The sequence below is a fragment of the Homo sapiens genome, chromosome 9 (assembly GCF_000001405.40).
Source record: "Homo sapiens chromosome 9, GRCh38.p14 Primary Assembly".
Lineage (NCBI taxonomy): Eukaryota > Metazoa > Chordata > Mammalia > Primates > Hominidae > Homo > Homo sapiens.
Genome location: NC_000009.12, coordinates 130,222,929 through 130,240,454, shown reverse-complemented (window position 1 = coordinate 130,240,454; position 17,526 = coordinate 130,222,929). Strand labels below are relative to the sequence as shown.

At 51.5% G+C, this 17,526-nt stretch overlaps 1 protein-coding gene across 2 annotated transcripts in view, besides 3 other annotated features; it reads right to left on the bottom strand.

The window, feature by feature from the left end:
* Nucleotides 347-526: an enhancer, noted in NCBI's record as "active region_29151". NCBI's record gives its function as "activates an Ori minimal core promoter by ATAC-STARR-seq in GM12878 lymphoblastoid cells {active_cell/tissue: GM12878}" and the evidence as "EXISTENCE:reporter gene assay evidence [ECO:0000049][PMID:35858748]".
* Nucleotides 607-786: an enhancer, noted in NCBI's record as "active region_29150". NCBI's record gives its function as "activates an Ori minimal core promoter by ATAC-STARR-seq in GM12878 lymphoblastoid cells {active_cell/tissue: GM12878}" and the evidence as "EXISTENCE:reporter gene assay evidence [ECO:0000049][PMID:35858748]".
* Nucleotides 2,944-3,503: an enhancer, noted in NCBI's record as "H3K4me1 hESC enhancer chr9:132999231-132999790 (GRCh37/hg19 assembly coordinates)". NCBI's record gives its function as "activates a minimal SCP1, AML or CMV promoter by ChIP-STARR-seq in naive H9 embryonic stem cells {active_cell/tissue: H9 hESC(naive)}" and the evidence as "EXISTENCE:reporter gene assay evidence [ECO:0000049][PMID:30033119]".
* Nucleotides 3,152-17,526, bottom strand: part of NCS1 (neuronal calcium sensor 1) — a 64,900-nt gene continuing 50,525 nt past the window's right edge. For both annotated transcript variants that reach the window (NM_014286.4, NM_001128826.2), the window contains exons 6-8: nt 17,296-17,373; nt 13,951-14,066; nt 3,152-7,465 (exon numbers count right to left, since the gene is read on the bottom strand). In NM_014286.4, coding sequence (NP_055101.2) covers nt 13,968-14,066; nt 17,296-17,373 — 177 coding nt within the window. In that variant the 3' untranslated portion in view covers nt 3,152-7,465; nt 13,951-13,967. The remainder of the gene's footprint in view (nt 7,466-13,950; nt 14,067-17,295; nt 17,374-17,526) is intronic.

The following is a 17,526-nucleotide window of genomic DNA, read 5'->3' as shown; positions in this document are numbered from 1 at the left end:
CCTCTGTATGCCTGGGGATGCCCTGAGCTGGGCTTTGGGGAGTACAATTTAGAGAGATACTTTCTAATATGCAGATGTGAGTTTGGGGCTTGGCAGGGTCAGTGGGGACAGGGTGGAAGGCCCGAGGTGGGGAGAAATGGGACCTCTAGGATGGTCCCTCTAGGAGGACTCACTGGTGCTATCACACCCAGGGAATAGCAGCCAATCTGAGCCATCCTGATAAAGCAGGTGGCCAGGTCTGTGCCTCTACTGAGCTTCAGCCCACAGTAAGCCATCCAGCGCAGGCTGGGCCAGGGGGTGAGTCAGCACAGGCTTTAGCCTGACTCGAGCAGAGCAAGGGACCATGACCCATCATGTGCCCTCAGCAACACCATTTCTGAACCGTGGTCCCTGTAGGCACCACGCCCAAGGCTGCTGGAAAAGACCTGAGCTTCCTCCACCAACAGCTCACCCCCGTTCAAGCTCACCCTCTGCTGGAAACATTGCCCCAGCTGCCCTCACAACGGCCTTCTGAACCAGAGCTTGGTATTTCCAAAGACAGGCGCCCGTGCACAGATTTACTTTCAGTGCTTCGGTGGAAACAGCACATTGTGTGGGTATGTAAATTACCTCCAATCTCTGCCTCAGGGACAGTCCCCAAGTGTGTGAAACAGTCTAGTCAGGAATCAGCCCTCCAGAGGGTGTCATATTAGCATTTTAAATATGTACTTTTATTAAAACCTACACCACAGATTTTATCCACACAAAGGATGTTAGAAGTCCCTTTTCATAGAAGTGTAATGTGGTGAAGATACATGCTTGGCTACAAAGATTTTCAGAGCTCAGCACTGTGCACCACAAGGGAAGAGCAGCAAGCAGCCTGGTGCTTCAGGACTGTGCTCAGGGGCAGGGCTCCTGGGGTCCTGGGGCCCCCACCCCCTGGATGGACAGGTACAGGTGCCTGCCTGTCTTTGTACTTACTTGACAGTGAATATCTGGACTTCTGGCAGAATTTGATCTAATACCTGCCTTCATTGCAACATTCCACCTCTGGCGAGGTTGTGGGGCAGGGGCTGTCGAGCCATCGCCTGCCTCTCATTGAGGGTCCATGGGGTTTTTGTCTGTTTGTTTTGAGACGGAGTCTCGGAGTCTCGCTCTGTTGCCAGGCTGGAGTTCAGTGGCGCGATCTCGGCTCACTGCAAGCTCCGCCTCCCGGGTTCACGGCATTCTCCTGCCTCAGCCTCCCACAGGCACCTGCCACCACGCCTGGCTAATTTTTTGTAGTTTTAGTAGAGACGGGCTTTCACCATGTTAGCCAGGATGGTCTCAATCTTCTGACCTCATGATCCGCCTGACTCGGCCTCCCAAAGTGCTGGGATTACAGGCGTGAGCCACCGCGCCCGGCCGAGGGTCCACTTTTTTACCAGAAAACCCTGTCTGTCAGAACACATGCCCAGCGTCAAGTGGTAGAGCCTGGCTGGGAACCAGGTCAGATTCCACAACCTGTGGCCCCAATCACCGTCCCACACTGCCTTTCCATGCTGCCTTTGGAACCCTCTTGAGGGTCTGGGGAGTTCTGGCATCTTCACTCTAGGACCCGCCAGAGCAACGCACAATGCTGGATGCCCAGCGTGGCCACAGAGGGTGACATCGCTGCATCCACTTCTCAACGGTTGCTTCAACCCCAAAGCGGAAGTCACATTGGGCCTTCAGCTTTGCCTGGAAGGTGGTGGCGATCTGATGATTCCTTTCACTCTGAAACATGTCTGAAACGTGGCCTGTGTTTGCAGGTGGTGGTTCATTCTAACATGGGCTGCTTGATCTTATCAATCTACACGCTTCATGCGTCTTTCAAGAGCTTTTGGCCAAGAGCAATGAATTCTAACTGACAGTTATGTTCCTGAGTCCGCGCTGGCTTTTGTTGCTCTCTGAATTCGTGTTCCTTTAACAAGCTACGAAAGTGAAAACCACCACCTCCTCTGATCCCCCTCTCCCCAACATGGCAGGGCCCATGCATACTGAGCAAACACGGGGTTACTTGACCAGAGGGGGAAGAGGAGGGCTCTCCTCTATCCCAGGCTCCAGGCCAAGGGTGACTCGGGGGAGGGCAGCCACACAGACTGCCACCTCTCGGGGTGCCTGCTGGGAGCTTGCACAAGAGCTACTCATCTCCCCACCTTCCCTCCCGACGCAACCCTCCATGTGGTCAGCAACCAATCTCTAGGCCCCCTGCGCCTGGCCCATCACAGGTGCAAAAGTCAGATGAGGTGAATGAATCATTTGCCTGAATCCCTGAGCCAATGGAGGTAGGGACCCAACCGGACATGCTGCAGCGCACACACCTCCCAGGGGTCCTCAAAGTGTGATTCACAGACCCGCAGCAGCAGCGCAGCCCAGGAACTTGTTAGGAACTCAGATTCCCAGGCCCCTGCCCAGACCCTCCTAATCAGAAACTCGGCGGCTGGGCTGGCAAGCTGGGTTTGAAGCAGCCTCCAATCCAGGTGATTCTGAGACACACTTGACTTTGAGAGCCACTGATCTAGGCCAATGGTTTTCAGACATTTTTAAAGCAGCAGCCGCCCTCTCCAGATGAAACAGGCAGGTCAGGGGATGTCGTGGGTGAGGCAGTGGGCGGGGCCTCACACCACTCAACTCTAGGCCTCGCAGAAACACTCCTGCAGATTTTTCTGGTTTAAAAGTATACTCAAGGTTCTCACTTTGCACATTCTTTCTCTCTCTTTTTTTTTTTTTTTTTTTTGAGATGGAGTCTCGCTCTTGTCACCCAGGCTGGAGTGCCATGGTGTGGTCTCAGCTCACTCCAATCGCCGCCTCCCGGGTTCAAGTGATTCTCCTGCCTCAGGCTCCCATGTAGGTGGGATTACAGGCGCCTGCCACCACACCCAGCTAATTTTTGTATTTTAGTAGAGACGGGGTTTCACCATGTTGGCCAGGCTGGTCTCGAACTCCAGACCTCAGGTGATCCGCCCAACTCGGCCTCCCAAAGTGCTGGGATTATAGGCATGAGCCACTGCACCCGGCCTACACATTCTTTCTCTTCAGGAAACTGGGAAGACAACACCCAAAGCCAGAGAAAGGGTGTCACAAAGGGAAGAAACCTAAAACGAAACGGAGAAGAATGTAAACAGACAAAGCAACAGGCCCACACAGGGAGGCGAGGACAAGTCCAGGAAGCGTGTTTAATTGGCGTGACATGGACGACATACAGCAGGAGCTTGGGGAGGCTGGGGCATGCTACACGGCCCCTGTCCACCCCTGGGCCTCGCCCTGACCCTGGCCCCAGAGACACACACCGGCAGGTTCAGACAGGACGGCACCCCAAAAAGAGACTCAAAGGGGGCTGGGGAGGCAAGCAGGAAAGGAAATAACCACAACCAGAAGACATTGCCTTTTGTTTGTTTGTTTTTGCAAGCATTATACCAATTTCTCCCCCAAGTGGCAGGCTCCGGGTGGGAGGCAGCAGCAGTCCAAACCGCTACTCTTGGGCACCGTCCTCCACTTCTGTGAGGGGCTTTGATGATGACACTCACATTTGGGTCTCACCAGGCCCCTGCGAGGCAGGCCCAGCAGAGACTCTTGCTCCCATCCAAGGGATGGGGAAATTGAGACCCAATGAGCAGAACTGACTTGCGCAAAGTCCTGAAGGAAGCCAGCCACCGAGTCAGGCTGGGAGTGAGGTGGGCCTCCCTGGGGCCGGGAGCCACTGCAGGAACAGGGACAACAGGGAATGTGCAGACTGGGGAGGGCGACTCGGGGCTACCCCATCCTGGAGAAGGGGCAGAGCCTGAGCCTGGATGCTAAGATGCCAAGACAGAAGATGGGACCAGCTGTTTATTCAACAAAAGCCTTTTATTCATTCAAAAATTAACCATTGGGTTTATTCCGCAGATATTAAAAAAAAAAAAAAAAGAGGGGGGCAAGGCTTCCCATCACAGTGCCCTTAAGTTAATTCACTTGCTATCCAGGGATGGCCTAGCAGAGGGGTGTCTGGGAAACGCTGCCAGAAATGTGGTGGCCCAGGGCCTCTGAGGACTCACAGCCCCCTCCTCGCCTCCCCGCTCCAGCCTCCCTCCGGACCACCCGTCCGGTGGGGTTGCAGCCCCCAGGTGCGTTGGCGGCTTACCACCACCAGGGGGCGCGCCGCGCTTCCTTAGCTCCCTTAAAATTAAATGCTGAAACCGCGCTGGGAACAGGGTGACTTTCCGCCTGGCGGGTGGGCAATGGAGGCTTTTTCCAGAGACAGCCTGCCTCTCCAGGAAGGGATCCCAGGCATCCCGACCTCCCCACCAACCCCCTCCGAAAAAACACAAAGTTCCTGAAACCCCAGGTGCACTTGTCTAGGAAACGGGCTGTCAAACTGAAAAGCATTTCAGGGGAAGAGATGTCAGTACAGAGGGTGACACGTACGCTTGCCTTGATGTTATTTTAAACGTGGCCTGCTTAGATCATGGAAAATCGGAACATTCTCCTAAGTCACCATCAACACAAAGTGAGGAGCAGACGCTACGAGGAAGAGGACAGGCCGTGGCCGACTGGCCGCCTGGGGCTGGTGCCTGCCCTGGCCCCAGTGCGAGGCTCTGCAGAGGGACTATGGGCGTGCCCTCTGCATCAGAGCATCTGAAGCGAGCCGCATTGGGTGGCAAACGCCGCTGTGGAGAGGCGCACGGGCTGCTCAGGAGGCACCTGGCTCAGGATTCTGCGGCATCACTGCAGCCAGAGGCCTGGGGAGAGGAGGGGGCAGAGATCGGTCCCTGCCAGGCAAACTCTAGTGAAAATGGCCAGTGTCCAGCACCCCGCCAGGGCCGGGAAGGGCGGCCCTTCCGGCAGCTCTGGGCTGGCTCGGGCTGTGGGCCCACCGGCATGCTGGGCTGCGGTCCGCAAGCATACCATCTGCTAAGGCCAGAAGCCACACCTGTGGCTTCAAACCAAAAGGCCAAAGGGCAGGACGATGGAGGAAGGCCGGACACACCGAAGGGGTCCACATGCTTAAGCCCAGACACCCTCAGCCACAGGTCAGGTTGTACAACAGTGTCAGTCCCATTGGACCAGAGAGGCAAATCGAGCCTCAGGCAGAGGCCAAAGGAAAGTAATTTGACCTGGGAAAGACCTCCCTCATCCTCTCAGCCCAAAGCCACCATGTTCGTTCCCTGCCCCAGACCCCAGGTCAGAGCCCAGCTGAGAAACTTCAGCCGTTGGTGCTGAGTCCCAGGTCGCCCGGGCCAGCAGCTGAGCAGGGAGCCGACTGGCAGGGGCCTCAAAGAATCCACCCTTCAAAGTGGCCTGTGAAGGTGGAACCACTGACCCCATCCCTGCAGGATGTTGGTGGGGGAGGGGGGGTTACCGTGGGGCCAGCGTGCAGTCCTAGGGGGCTGCCAATGAACGCCTCAGGGGGGACGCTGGGGTTGGCTGAATGCTCCAGCCAAGGGGAACAGCCACGCAGCCCCACACGGCAACGTCACTACGGCAGAGGCCTTCCTCGGGCTGGAGGCCTGCTTGCTGAGGGTGGGAACCGAGGACCAAAGTGTCCCCTCTAAAACATGGGCTGATGGGCTGTTGACTCTGCAAAGCAGCAGCAAGAATTCTAGACCCAGGCCTGGCCCTGACAGTCTGGGAAGCGGCTTCTCACCTCAAGCCTTCCCTGTGCAAGGACTCCTTCTGGGTCCCAAAGAGCGCTCAAGGGTCTGGGGGGAACCAGGAAATGCTGCGGGAAGGGACAAGGTGTGCCACATGACACATTCATCTGCTGGAACTGACCCCACACACCAGCAGCCACGCAATAGGGGCTGTGCTGTGACTCAGACAGTCCCTCGGGCTGCTGGGGTCAAGCAAACTTAACCACAGCATCACCAGCCACAGGAAACTGAACCCCAGGCCTAGAGTGACATGATGTCGGCATGGAAAAGGGCCTTCAAGACCAACCAGCCCGGGCCTCCTCGCTCTGCAGATGGGGCAACTGAGACCCAGAGAGGGCAGGAGGCTGCCCACAATCAAAGAGCAAGGGCCGGACCTTGGGCTCCTACCTCTGGTCCAGGGTGGCCTCGCATTCCTGGTGATGGTCCTGGGGCCGCACCTGCCTCAGTGGCAGGCACCGCTGGAAGCCTCCGTGAAGACATGTGGGCCGCAGCCCCAGGTGTAGGGACTATATTGATGGGATTGCCTGGAACTCTTCTCTCCTTCCCTCCCTCCCAGCCTTTGAGCCAAGAGAAGGCCAGGGAAGGACACCATGCAGTTTACTGGAAAAAGCAGATAGGAAGGAGGGAAGGCAGAGCGGGAGAGAGTCATGAACTATCTTGAAATCCCCTCCCCAGCCCAAGGAGGCGGGGGTCCCCTTGATTTCTGCTAACTTACTTCAAAGACCACCTCTCCTGACTCTGCCTGGGTACCCAATGCCCCTTCTTCCAGCTCCCAGCCTTAGGCGCCCTGTTTTCCATGCTGCGGCAAACACCAAAGCAAGAGTTGAGAAACCTAAAGATGTCCCCTGTTCATCCTCGGAAAAAATGTTACGGACCCAGGGGAGAACAAGGATGCGGGGACAGAGGCAGCAGGGAAAAGGGGTTTGGCAGGAGGCATTCGGGCTGGAGGGAACAGTGCATTAGCCATTTAGGAATTTCCACCTCTCCCCTCTCCAAAAATCAAGCACAGTATCTGAAAAAAAAAAAATTTTTTTTGGCTTCTTGGCCGCTGCAGGCCACCATCCTCCCAAGTCGGCGTGGGCAGGTGGGTCAGGGCGTGCACATGTAAACGGTGGGCCCGCAGCCCTGGGAGCTGAGGACACACCAGGCAGCAGCAACAGTTAACAACCAATAAATTAAAGATATCAATTATATATGTATATAAAAAAAAACCTCACTTTCCCCACAAAAAGCACAATACTGTTATCACAAAAAAAATCATCATCCTCATAATTAATCATCCTAGCCACGCAGGTGGTTTTGCTGCCAAAAGATGGGACGACAAATAACGTTGACCAGGCAGAACCCCTAGACACCCTCGGCCCACCCACAGCCTCTCCGGCTGCCGAAGGACGAGGGACGAGGGCAAGGCAGAGTTCTCTGAGGTCCCCAGGCCTTCACCCCATCTGTCAGTCTGTGTCTTCTAGGACAGAAGGTAGTTGTTTTTTTTTCTTTTAAAACGTCTGTTCAAAATAAAAAACAAAAGCACACGCGCAAGAGAGCGGGAGGAACGGAGGCTGCCTGCGAGGCAGCCAAGTCCTTGGTTTATGCAGAGGGCTGTAGCCTTTTCCATTTCGTGTTGTCGTTTTCCGGACAAGCAGAGGTTGCTGGCAATTGGAGCCGGTGGCTTCAGGCGGGGGATGGGTGCAGGACAGGGGAGAGGAGAGCCGGGGCCTCCCGGGTCAAGGGCAGCCGGCTGTGTGTGGATGCGGAAGAAGGCTGGGTGGACGCACGGGGTTGGTGTCAGGGCTGAGGTGGCCTCATGGCACAGAAGGAGGTGAGTGGTTCCCAGGCATCTGGAAGACACAAGGAGGCAAGATGGGTTAAGATCCAGCCACAGCGGATAGGGGTTAAGGTCTGGCCACGGAGGATAGGCACAGAGAGCTGGCAGGAAGGTCGATAGATGGCAAGCTGGCATTCTATGTCAGAAGTCCTAAAAATGTGCATAACCTCTGAGGCACCCTTTGGGTTTTTTGGTTTTTTTTTGTTTGCTTTTTTTTGAGTTGGAGTCTTGCTCTGTCACCTGGGCTGCAGTGCAGTGGCATAATCTCGGCTCACTGCAACCTCCACCTCTTGGGTTCAAGCGATTCTCCTGCCTCAGCCTCCCAAGTAGCTGGGATTACAGGCGCCCGCCACCATGCCTGGCTAATTTCTTTTTGCATTTTTTAGTAGAGACAGGGTTTCACCATCTTGGCCAGGCTGGTCTCGAACTCCTGACCTCATGATAGACCCGCCTCGGCCTCCCAAAGTGCTGGGATTACAGGCGTGAGCCACCGTGCCCAGCCTATATTTATCCTTAATAAATAAATGTTTACCACTGCACCATCTGTAATAGCAGAAAACAGAAAACAAAAATGGAAGCAGAGAAAACAATCTAAGTGTCCAGTATCAGAGGAGTGGTGGGATACATTAGGACACACCCACAGGATAAAACAGTTTACAAACCATTAAAAACAACACATAGAACAGTCGATAAACACATGAAAAGATGCCCAACATCCCTAGTCATTAGGGAAACACACATCAAAGCCACAGGGAGGGCCAGGAGTGGTGGGTCAAACCTGTAAATCTAGCACTTTGGGAGGCCAAGGCAGGAGGATCGCTTGAGGCCAGGAGTTCAAGACCAGCTTGGCCAACACAGTGAAACCCGGTCTCTACCAAAAATACAAAAATTAGCCGGACGTGGCTGCGCACACCTATAATTCCAGCTGCTTGGGAGGCTCAGACAGGAGAATGACTTGAACCTGGGAGGCAGAGGTTGCAGTGAGCCGAGATTGCATCACTGCACTCCAGCCTGGGAGACAGAGTGGGACCCTGTCTCAAAAAACAAAAACCACAACAACAACAAAAAACCACAGTGAGGCAACCACTTCACACCCACTAGGATGGCTACCTTTTTTTTTTTTTTCATGGAAAATAACAAGCGTTGGCAAGGATGTGGGAAACTGGAACCTCTGTCCTTTGCTGGTGGGAATGCAAAATGCTGTCACTAGTTTGGAGATCAGTTTGGTGGTTCCTCAAAAAGTTAAACATAGAGTTAACCATATGACCCAGCAACTCCACTCCTAGGTATATACCCAAAGAACCAAAAATCCATACTCAGGCCAGGTGAGGTGGCTCATGTCTGTAATCCCAACCCTTTAGGAAGCCAAGGTACGCGGATCACCTGAGTTCAAGAGTTCGAGACTAGCCTGGCCAACATGGTGAAACCCCATCTCTACTAAAAATACAAAAATTAGCTGGGCGTGGTGGTGTGTGCCTGTAATCCCAGCTACTCAGGAGACTGAGGCAGGAGAATCGCTTGAATCCAGGAGGCAGAGGTTGCAGTGAGCCAAGATCACGTCATTGCACTCCAGCCTGGGCAAAAAGAGTGAGACTCCACCTCAAAAAAATAAATACATAAAAAATAAACAAAATTAAAGTTTTTTTTTTTTGAGATAAAATCTCACTTTATCACCCAGGCTGGAGTGCGGTGGTGCAATCTCAGCTTACTGCAGCCTCACCCTCCCTGGTTCAAGCAATCCTCCTGCCTCAGCACCCCTAAGTAGGTGGGACTACAGGCACCCGCCACCACACCCAGCTAATTTTTGTATTTTTGGTAGAGACAGGGTTTCACCATGTTGCCCAGGCTGGTCTTGAACTCTTTGGCTCAAGTGATCCACACAGCTCGACCTCCCAAAGTGCTGGGATTACAGGCGTCAGCCACTGCACATGGTCTAAATAAATTTAAGAGACCTATCAACCTATTACAATGGGTAGACTTTATTCTGATTCTGATTTCAGTAAACAAAGTTAAAAAAAAAAGAGTAAGATAACAGGAAACTAGAATAGCAACTAGAGATCAGAGGATATTAAGGAATTATTGATTGCTTTTGCTTTATGAATTTTTCAAAGAATCTTTATCTTTTAGAAATACATTTTGAAATGGATTAAGTATGATGATGTCTTGAATTTGCTTCAAAATCACAAGAGTGGGGGTGGGGGGGGAGGGCACAGATGGTACAAGATTGGCAGGGAACTGGGGATTCGGAAGCTGAGTGATGAGTACAAAACATTACACTTTTTTTTTTTTTTAAAGAGACAGAGTCTTACACTGTCACCTAGGCAGGAGTGTAGTGGTACAATCCTAGTTCACTGTAGCCTTTAACTCCTGGGCTCAAGGGATCCTCCTGCCTCAGCTTCCTGAGTAGCTGGGACTACAGGCATGTGCCACCACACCTGGCTAATTTTCATATTTTTTGTAGAGACAGAGTCTCTCTATGTTGCCTAGGCTGGACTCAAACTTCTGGCCTAAAGCAGTCCTCCCACTTCGGCCTCCCAAAGCACTGGGATGATAGGTGTGAGTGACCACAGGCGCCCACTCAGCATTACACTATTCTCTCTGCCACTGTGTATGAATGTTTCCATAACAGATAATTTGTTTTGTTTTGTTTTTCAGACAGAGTCTCACTCTGTCACCCAGGCTGGAGTGCAGTGGAGTGGTTTTGGCTCACTGCAACCTCCGCCTCCCAGGTTCAAGCAATTCTCCTGCCTCGGCCTCCCAAATAGCTGGGATTACAGGTGCCCGCCACCACACCTGGCTGATTTTTGTATTTTTTGTAGAGACGGGGTTTCACCATGTTGCCCAGGCTGGTCTTGAACTCCTAACCTCAAGTGATCCACTTGCCTCAGCCTCCCAAAGTGCTGGGGTTACTGGCATGAGCCAGTGCGCCTGGCCCATAATAGATAACTTTTTAATCCCTTCCCCAAATTCCCAACAACCTGAGTGTCCAACACTGTGGAACTGGTTAAATTATGGCCCAGCCATGTGATGGAGCATTATGCAGCTATGAAAAATGATGGCTCAACATTTAATGATGTGGAAAATAAGCCTCATCTCAGTTTCTGAATAAGTCAATGACTTACATCACTGCAAGTGATCTAGGAATTATGAGCTATCAGGAACCTGAGGAGGCAAATAAATCATTAAAATGATAGAACACAAATTGGATATAATCACTACCGCGTAGGCACAAGGAACAGCCCTATAGAAGAAAGAAGGCCATTTCCCAGCAGAGCTAATAGAAAGGGGGATCATATCATGCGAGGGCTCTTGTCACTTTGACAAGCTTGTCATGGAAATAATATGACATGGTGATTTGCAAAAGAGGACTGTGAAAAATTAGACAACGGATCAGCATTCACCATGGGACATGTCAAGGTACACGTCAAACATTTCTATGATGGAAATATTGGCCAGGCGCGATGGCCCACACCTGTAATCCCAGCACTTTGAGAGGCTGAGGTGGGTGGATCACAAGGTCAGGAGTTCGAGACCAGCCTGTCCAACATGCTGAAACCCCATCTCTACTAAAAGTACAAAAATTAGCCGGGCGTGGTGGCAAGCACCTGTAATCCCAGCTACTTGGGAGGCTGAGGCATGAGAATTGTCTGAACCCAGGAGGCAGAGGTTGCAGTGAGCTAAGATCACGCCACTGCACTCCAGCCTGGGAGACTCCATCTTGGAAAAAAAAAAAAAAAGAAATATTAATAACAGTGATAGTTCCTTTATAAATTGGTTTTAATTATATAATTTCTGTGTGACTCAGTTTACTGAGTGTTAAGTTTTGTAAGTGTTCAATTCTTTTAAAATCACTCTGGACACTAAAATGTTCACTGTGATTATATCTGAGTCATACATAAGGGGTTTTTTTTAAAATAAACTTTTTAATTGAGGTTTTCTCATTAAACATATTTTCAATGTCTCTTCAATGAAAAAGGATTTCTTGTGAAAAATAATAATAATAATAACAGACGCTTCAAAACAGTGTAGGCCTGGCCAGGCATGGTGGCTCACGCCTGCAGTTCCAGCACTTTGGGAGGCTGAGGTGGGTGGATCACCTGAGGTCAGGAGTTCGAGACCAGCCTAGCCAAGATGGTGAAACCCCATCTTTACTAAAAATGGAAAAATTAGCCAGGCGCCATGGTGGCAGGTGCCTATAGTCCCAGCTACTCGGGAAGCTGAGGCAGGAGAATTGTTTGAACCCAGGAGGCAGAGGCTGCAGTGAGCTGAAATCATGTCACTGCACTCCAGCCTAGGTGATGGAGTGAGACCCTGTCTCAAAAAAAAAAAAAGAAAGAAAGAAAGAAAAAAACAGTGTAGACCTCCTAAACAAAATGCCAACAAATCAAATTTTATGATACATAAAAAAATAACACATCACAGCAAAGTGGAGTTTATTCTAAGAATGCAAGGTGACTTAGCATTCAAAAACCAATCTATGGCTGGGTGCAGTGGCTCACACCTGTAATCTCAGCACTTTGGGAGGCCGAGGTAGGAGGATCACTTGAGGTCAAGAGTTCCAGACCAGCCTGGGCAACATAGTGAGACTCTATCTCTACACTACAGAAAAAAAACAAAACAAAACAAACAAACAAAAAAAACACTTTTTTTTTTAAATTAGCCAGATATGGTGGCAAATGTCTGTAGTCCCAGCTACTTGGAAAGCTGAGGGCTGAGGTGGGAGGCTCGTCTGAGTCTGGGAGGTTGAGGCTGCAGTGAGCCATGACCTGGTGGCTGGGTAACAGAGTGAGACCCAGTCGCAGAAAAAAAAAAGAAAGAAAAAGAAAAAGTGATGGATATCACTTCCAAGATTATGCTATAAAAAGACACTGGCTTTCATCCTGGCTCTCTTTCTCTCCTTCTCTCTTGGAAAGCTCTGAGGGAAGCCGGCAGCCATATTGTGAGGCAGCCCTGTGCAGGTGTCTACATGGCAAGGGAACAAGGCTGCCAAACCACATGAGTGAGCTTGGAAGCAGGTCATCACCAGCCAAACCTTCAGATGAGACCACAGCCCTGGCCAATGGCTGACAAGTATCCCAATTTTCCCGGGACTGAGAAGTTTCCTAGAACAGGGAACTTGCACTGCTAAATCCAGGATAGACCTGGGCAAACCCTATTGACAGCTGAACTGCATACTCCTGAGAGTCCTTGAGCCAGAGGCACCCAGCTTAACTGTGCCAAATTCCTAATGTTTGTTCTTAAGCTGCTGTTTGTGGTAATGTAATATGTAGCAATGGATAACTAACCTAGCACATCACAAATGAGCACATTAAAATGGGTGATACACTTATAACAAGGCATTCAACGTCACTGCTTATCAGAGAAATGCAAAGTAAACTTAGAACAAGTTATTACTCCATACTCACAAAAATGGCTAAAATTTGAAAAGACAGAAAATACCCAGTGTTGGCAAGGATGTGGAGCAACTGGAACTCTCATACACTACTAGTGGGACCGCAAAACAGCACAACCACTTTGGAAACTGTTTTCTAGTAACTACCAAAGCTAAATATTACACATATCCTATGTCCCAGCAATTCTACCCTTACATATACACCAACAGCAGGCATCCACTGGTTCACCAGGACGTGGACAAGAACGCTGATCTCTGGACAATACCTTGGACGTTATTCACACCCACTCCCCGCAGACTACATTGAACACTCCACAAAGAAGAGGCAGGAAAAAAGGGGAGAAGGGAGGAGAGGAGAAGGAAAGAAGGGAGACAGCTCTCTACCAGCAACAGGGGCCTCTGCCAGGCGTGCTATCATTCTGTGACAGCTAGGAGCTTAGTTAGGTCTTCAACCGGCTGCTCAGAGAGGGGATAAGAAATTGCTCTCCCAGGTCCCTGGCCCTGGTTGGGAACTAATTTTCAAAGTGTCTTCCACCCAGGACAATTCTTTTCTTTTTTTTTTTTTCTTTTCTTTTTTTTTTTTTTTTTGAGATGGAGTCTCACTCTGTTACCCAGGCTGGAGTGCAGTGGCACGATCTCGGCTCACTGCAATCTCCACCTCCTGGGTTCAAGCGGTTCTCCTGCCTCAGCCTCCCAAGTAGCTGAGACTAGGTGCGCACCACCACGCCCGCCTGATTTTTGTATTTTTAGTAGAGACGGGGTTTCACCATGTTGGTCAGGCTGGTCTTGAACTCCTGACCTGGTGATCCGCCTGCTTCAGCTTCCCAAAGTGCTGGGATTACAGGCGTGAGCCACCGCGCCCAGAAAAATTCTGTTCAAGCAAACTCGCAGGCTGATCTGGGTCTATAAAAATGATCAAAACAGAGGAGCTCTGACCAATTTGAAGGCCCCCCTTCCAGCCTCCTCCTCCCAGCTATGTCCCTGCTAGGCTGACCACAACACCCCCAGAGACCCAGGTAATTACCTGCCAACCGTAGGTGTCCTGCTGCTGGGTTTTCACCCCTGACCCATCCCAGACCCACCCCAGGCCCCGAGTCTGCACTCACCCAGCTCCAGCCTGGGACTATACCAGCCCGTCGTAGAGGGACAGCGCCTGCACAATGGACGGGTCTGCCTTGGAACCCTCCTGGAACTCCTGCAGGGTCAGCTTCCCGTCGGCATTCTGTGAGCAGAGAGAGGCGGCTGAGGGTGCAGGGCCTCCCAGGAGAGGGCTCTAGACAAGCCCAGCCCAGGGCCGGTCCCAAGAGCCCTTCCAAGGTTAGATCAGGAGGGAGGCAACGTGGCTCAGGGCCTACAAGCAGCCAGCACCAGACAGACCTCGGCACTCATGGCAGGGTGGCCTTGGGCCGTGGCCCACCTCTCTGGGCATGTTTCTTCACCTGGGGATGGAGGGTAATTACCTGGCTTCCTCCAGGCACTCGGGTGACAGCTCTGTGCTTGACCAACTGGAAGTGCCCTGTAACTCCACACGTGTCATGGTTAATGCTATTAAACCCCATCAATGTGAGTAACTGACAAGGCTGAGAGCCTCGTGCAGTTCTCTGGGGTCACTCTTGGAAGGGCATTTAAACTGCTCCTGGAGCAGCCCACACTGGACCCTGGGAGACCCGGCAGGGGGCTGGACATGGCTCAGAAAGAGGAATTTTAGTGGGTCTCTCGGGGAGGGGATGTTTGGGCCAGAATCCCTTCCCCGGAGCATCTCTCAAGGAAGCCGGCGGACCACAAGGAAAAGGCCACGGAGAGCACCTACTCGATCTCGGGTATCCAGAGAGGGTAAGTGCCGAAAACAGCGCCGATGAGCACAACCGAGCTGTGCTCAGGGATCGCTCGCTGCGTACACGACATATGCCAAGCTCGGCGCAACCCTCAGTGTATGGAACCCTCACGGCCAAGCCAAGAAGGGGGTGCTGCTCTCATCCCCATTTTACCAGTGAGGAAGCTGAGGCTCCGTCACCTACCCAGGCCCCAGGGCTGGGAAACGGAGAAGTCAGATTCACACCCCAGTCAGTGTGACTACAGGGTCTGTGCTGTTTCCCAAAATGACGGAAGTGCAGACAGGGGGACAGTAAGGAATGTGCGGCCTTGGCCTTAAGCCACGTGGACGCACACCACGAGAAACTTATTATTCCGTGCTCCACACTCTGTCGATAAATCTTTTGATCATTACCAAGACGCCAGCTGGGTCTGAGGCCAGCACGTCTCTACCACTCCTCTAACATGGGCTAATCTCCCTTTTTTAATTAAGAAAGTACAGGCCTCAGGTCAAAGCTTTTAGGGCAAACAGCTGTCTCCAGCCAGAATCTAATAAGCAGCCCTGCGTTACAGGAATTTCTATGATTGACTGATCGATTGATTGATTGAGACAGGGTCTCACTCTGTCACCCAGGCTGGAGTGCAATGGCACCATCACGGCTCACAGCAGACTTGGTTTCTCAGGCTCCAGCCATCCTCCCACTTCAGCCTCCCGAGTAGCTGGGACCACAGGTGCACACCACCACACCCGGCTAATTTTTGTATTTTTTGTAGAGTCGGGGTTTCATCACGTTGCCCAGGCTGGTCTCAAACTCCTGAGCTCAAGTGATCCACTCGCCTTGGCCTCCCAAAGTGCTGGGATGACAGGTGTGAGCCACCGCACCTGACCATTTTATGTTATTTTGCTGAAGGCACGTAACACCTGGATTTCCCTAACGTCATTATTTCAAATTTACATTTAAGTTATTTTAGTTTTAAGTAAGTTTGATTTAAAGAAGGATTCCTTATTTCTTTGGAGTCCCTTTTTTTAGGCTTTTATTTTAGGCTCAAGGATACATGTGCAGGTTTGTTATATAGGTAAATCCTGTGTTGTGGGGGTTTGCTGTACAGACTATTTTGTCACTCAGGTGATAAGCATAGTACCTGATAATAGGTGGGTTTCGATCCTCACCCTCCTCTCACCCTCCACCCTCAAGTAGGCTCCAGTGTCTATGGTTCCTTTTATTTTATTTTTTTTCTTTTGAGACAGTCTCACTCTTATTGCCCAGGCTGGAGTGCAGTGGTGTGATCTCGGCTCACTGCAACCTCTGCCTCCCAGGTTCAAGCAATTCTCCTCCCTCAGCCTCCCGAGTAGCTGGGATTACAGGCATGTGCCATCATGCCTGGATAATTTTTTTTTTTTTTTTTGAGACTGCGTCTCACTCTGTTGCCCAGGCTGGAGTGCAATGGCGCGATCTCCACTCACTGCAACTGCTGCCTCCCGGATTTTTTTTTTTTTTTTTTTTTAGTAGAGAAAGGGATTCACCATGTTGGCCAGGCTGGTCTCGAACTCCTGACCTCAGGTGATTCACCCGCCTCGGCCTCCCAAAATGCTGGGATTACAGGTGTGAGCCACCACACCTGGCTTTGGTTCCCTTTAAAGAAGGGTTTCTTGGCCAGGCACGGTGGCTCACGCCTATAATCCCAGCACTTTGGGAGGCCGAGGCTGGTGGATCACGAAGTCAGGAGATCGAGACCATCCTGGCTAACACGGTGAAATCCCGTCTCTACTAAAAATACAAAAAATTAGCCAGGTATGGTGGCATGCGCCTGTAGTCCCAGCTACTCGGGAGGCTGAGGCAGGAGAGTTGCGTGAACCCAGGCGGCAGAGCTTGCAGTGAGCCGAGATCGCGCCCGCCACTGCACTCCAGCCTGGGTGACAGGGCGAAGATTCTGTCTCAAAAAAAAAGAGAAGGGTTTCTTAACCTTGGGCCTGTGGATAGAAGTCAGCAGGTCTATGAACTTGGGGGAAAAAAAATCAGCCTTTTTTTACTAACCTCTAACTGAAATGTAGCTTTTCCTTTGATGGAAACCTAGGCGACGGTCCCCAACAGGACCTGCAGTACCTGTGATCTGTCGACAGTAGGGATCACAGGTATTTTCATAACACACCCTAGTTGCTGCAGATATTACAGCTCGCAATTTCGGGGGTTGCTGGACCCACCACTACATCTTAGTGAATGCGTTAAGAAAGCAGCTCACAGAACGCTACATCACAGATTCTTTTTTTAAAATACTCTGACAGCTGTTTTCTAAAATAATCAGCTTCCTTTTTGATCTTATGGATTTTATTTTATGCGCTTAAAGCCATTATGCTGAGAAGTCTGTAGGCTTCTCCAGAATGCCAAAGGGGTCCATGGCAAACAAAAAAAAAAGGCTAAGGACTCTGGTTGATTAAAGAAAACATGCTGAGCAAACTGACTTAAGACTCTGGACACTGGATGGGGCTAGCTGCTGAGCAGGGATAGGACACCGTGCCGCCTGCCGTGAGCCATGGAGGAGGTTGGCAGCAAAGCCAGGCCCAGGATCCAGGGACTCCAATTCCTGCCCCCGACACCTTGCCTCCCTGGTCCAGGACCAGCCCCGCCCCCCCACCTCACCTTATCCATCATGGCAAAGATCCGGTCCACCCTCTTCTCAGGAGTGTTCTCCTCCTCTGGGAGCTCCACGGTATTCCCCTGCAGGGACGGACAAGGCGGGGGTGGGCCCTGGCACTCTGGGCTTTGGGCTCTTGGCCACGCATTTGCCCCCCAGACCTGGCAGTTTCCAGATGAGGGCCGCCCCCCTCTTCTTTCCCCTCCCCATCCCTGCCATTGTGCCCTGGAACATCC